The 3,013-nt window shown below is 59.8% G+C and overlaps 1 annotated feature.

The window, feature by feature from the left end:
- Nucleotides 398-569: a silencer, noted in NCBI's record as "fragment chr5:180023713-180023884 (GRCh37/hg19 assembly coordinates)". NCBI's record gives its function as "represses an EF-1alpha promoter that drives an FKBP-Casp9 reporter gene in an ReSE screen in HepG2 liver carcinoma cells and K562 erythroleukemia cells {active_cell/tissue: HepG2 | K562}" and the evidence as "EXISTENCE:reporter gene assay evidence [ECO:0000049][PMID:32094911]".

The raw sequence follows: 3,013 nt of genomic DNA, 5'->3' as shown, positions 1-3,013 counted from the left end.
CATCTCAAAAAAAAAAAAAGGAGCTGAGAGATGGCAGGGAAGAATGAGGTATGAGGTCCTGGTGACATCCTTTGAGCCTGGATCAACCTTTCCCTGAAGGCGGAGCCACTCCTGGAATTTCAGTCTTTGCTTAAAGCCACGTGGGTCAGCTTTTCTGTCACTTTCACCAATGCCCTGAACCCACAAGGCAGGAACCACATCGACAGCACCTGCTCCCCTCCGCACAGCAGGGCCCTGTGGGTGGGAGTGCCGACAGGGAAGGGGCAAAAGGAAGTGGCTGAGAGCCAGATCAATATTGACCCAGGGACGGTGCCACAGAGGGCGCTCGGATATGCTCACGACACTGCCCAGTGCCCGAGGGCCCACGGGGCTGAGCTATGAGGAAAGAGGACGCGGGCTGAGGAGGGGGTGCTGAGCGCCCCAGGGCCCACGGGGCCGAGCCATGAGGAGGGAGGACGGGGGCTGAGGAGGGGGTGCTGAGCGCCCCAGGGCCCACGGGGCCGAGCCAAACCACTTCCTACTGGCGCAGGAGAAAGCCCAGAGTGCCTGCTGGGACTGGCCGAGGTGCCTGTCCTTGTGGGGCCCACTCAGGGCGGTGTGGAGGGTCGCTGCTGCTGGCCGCTGTGGTGGCCCTGGCCAGGAGCCCCCACAAGTCCCTTGAAAAAGGGTCCCAGGACCATCGGGAAACTCAGGGTGCCGGCTGACACCACCAGGGCTGCCCACCGGTCCCCACCTTCGAGTAGGAAAGTTTGCTCAGAAGGAGTGAGGAAGGGGGCCTCGGGGCCGGGGTCCAGCGCCTGCGGCCTTTGGCTCTAGACATAAAAAGAAGAGCAGCTTCTATTGGAACAGCACCACAGACCCCTCCCAAAGCCCCAGATCATTCTAGCATGGAGGGCTAACCTAACCAGGGCCCAGCCACCAGGACACCACCTGACAGCCAGCTGCTATCCCAGGAGAGCAGAGGTGGGCAGAGAGGGGCCCCAGAAAACTCCGGCAATGAACAGTCACCAAGATGCCTGCTCTGGCGGGGAGCTGCACTCACCTGCCCAGGTGACCACATCAGAGAGGCATGGGTATCCGGAGTTCAACCCAGTTTGCTTAATAATTTATGTACTCAAGGCATTAGGAAGAGAGGGCACCAGAGAAAGAGGGATATCAAAGAGAGGGGGCATCACAGAGAGCAGGGGCCTCAGAGAGAGAGGACATCAGAGAGAGAATGGGGACATGGTGGGGGCATCAGAGTGGGCATCTGCCACCTGAACAGCCCTCCACAGGTGTCTGCGGAAGCACCGCCAAAGCGTGGGCCGGGCGGAGGCACCGTGAGCCTCTAGGCTCCCCAGCAGGAGCACCCAGGGGCTGAGTACCCTGCTCCGAGGCCCTGAGGTCTTTCAATAGGCCCCAAATTCAATATCTGGCCCCTTCCCCAGAGCCGCAAAGTGCTTGTTTACCTTCCAGCTCTTCCTGCATTCCGTGGGAGTGGGCAAGGTGTGCGTGTTTATTTTGGCCCAAAAGATGCCCTGCAAACACTGCCCAGAACAAGCTGACCGTGTCGTCTGCAGACAGCGCCAAGCACTTTCTCAGTGTCTCGGCAGACCTGAGCCAGCAAGGGCCGCAAGCAGGAGTGGCAGGGAAGGCCCAGGCTGACGAGAGGGCGCTGCCCACCCGCCCCTGTCCCATGCCGGGCGGACTCTGACACCCACCCTGGAAGCCTCACCTGGCCTGGCCTTCAAGGGGCAGGGCAGCACTTGGAGGGCATGGCAGGCCCCAGGTCCGTCCACACCCCAGCTCCTGGAACCTTGGAATGTTAGGCTCAGCAGGCACGGTCTCGGCAGCCCGACTGGGGGCGTCATTGTGAGATGAGGGGACTGTCCTGGGTTATCTAGGTGAGCCCTAAATGCAACAACACACACACTCATAAGATGGCGGCAGAATTTTCACACTCACACACACCCACACTCACACACACATTCACACACACTTGCACACAATTCAAACACATGCATATCCACACACTCCCTCCCACACACTCCCTCCCACACTCTCCCTCCCACACAGACTGACTCACGCTTATCCACACACACACTTGTACACACATTCACACTCAAACACACCCACAAGCTCACACCCACTCACTCTCCTTCACATGCACATTCTCATTCACTGTCCATCTTACACACTTGCATGCATATTCACTCTCACCCCTCCACACACACACCCCCACACATCCCCACACCCACACACACCCACACATGAACCCTCACACACACCCACATACACACCCACACATACACACCCTCACACACACCCCACACACACTCACACACCCACACATACCCTCACACACCCTCACACACACCCATACCCTCTCACTCCCACACACCCACACACGAACCCTCACACACCCACACACACCCCCACACACACCCACACACCCACACACACCCACACACCGACAAACCCTCACACACACACCCCACGCACCCTCACACACACACCCACACACACAGAAGAGGAGGAGGCCATGTGACCAGGAGGCAGAGACTGGAGTGATGCAGTCACCAGCCAAGGGGCCCTGGCAGCCCCCATAAGCAGGGAGAGGCCAGGAGTGGATAAGCTCCTGGGAAGGCCCAGCCTCTGGAGGAGGAGCGGCCCCCGACGCCTCGCCTTCACCCCCGTGACACTGCACTTCTGGGCTCCAGAACTGCGAGCGGAGTAAATGTGTTGTTTTCAGCCACCAGGTATGTGGTGACTTGTCACAGCAGCCTCAGGAAATGAATACAGAGGCAGCCGCTGACCCAGCTGTGCAGGTCTCGGCACAGGCCAGACCCTCGGCCTGCCTGATCCCCAACTACCGCAGAGGCTTCGCCAGCCGTGGCCCCCAGAGCCAGTGTGGGGTGAGGGGCTGGGCCAGCCTGAGGTGAGTCCTGGCTTGCCTTGACCATGGCAGCTCGGGAGAGGAGAGCACATCCTTTGGCCCTGTCAGTGGTGAAACGGAGACACCGTGACACACTTC

The sequence above is a fragment of the Homo sapiens genome, chromosome 5 (genome assembly GCF_000001405.40).
Source record: "Homo sapiens chromosome 5, GRCh38.p14 Primary Assembly".
NCBI lineage: Eukaryota > Metazoa > Chordata > Mammalia > Primates > Hominidae > Homo > Homo sapiens.
This window is presented reverse-complemented; position numbering and strand designations above follow the sequence as displayed.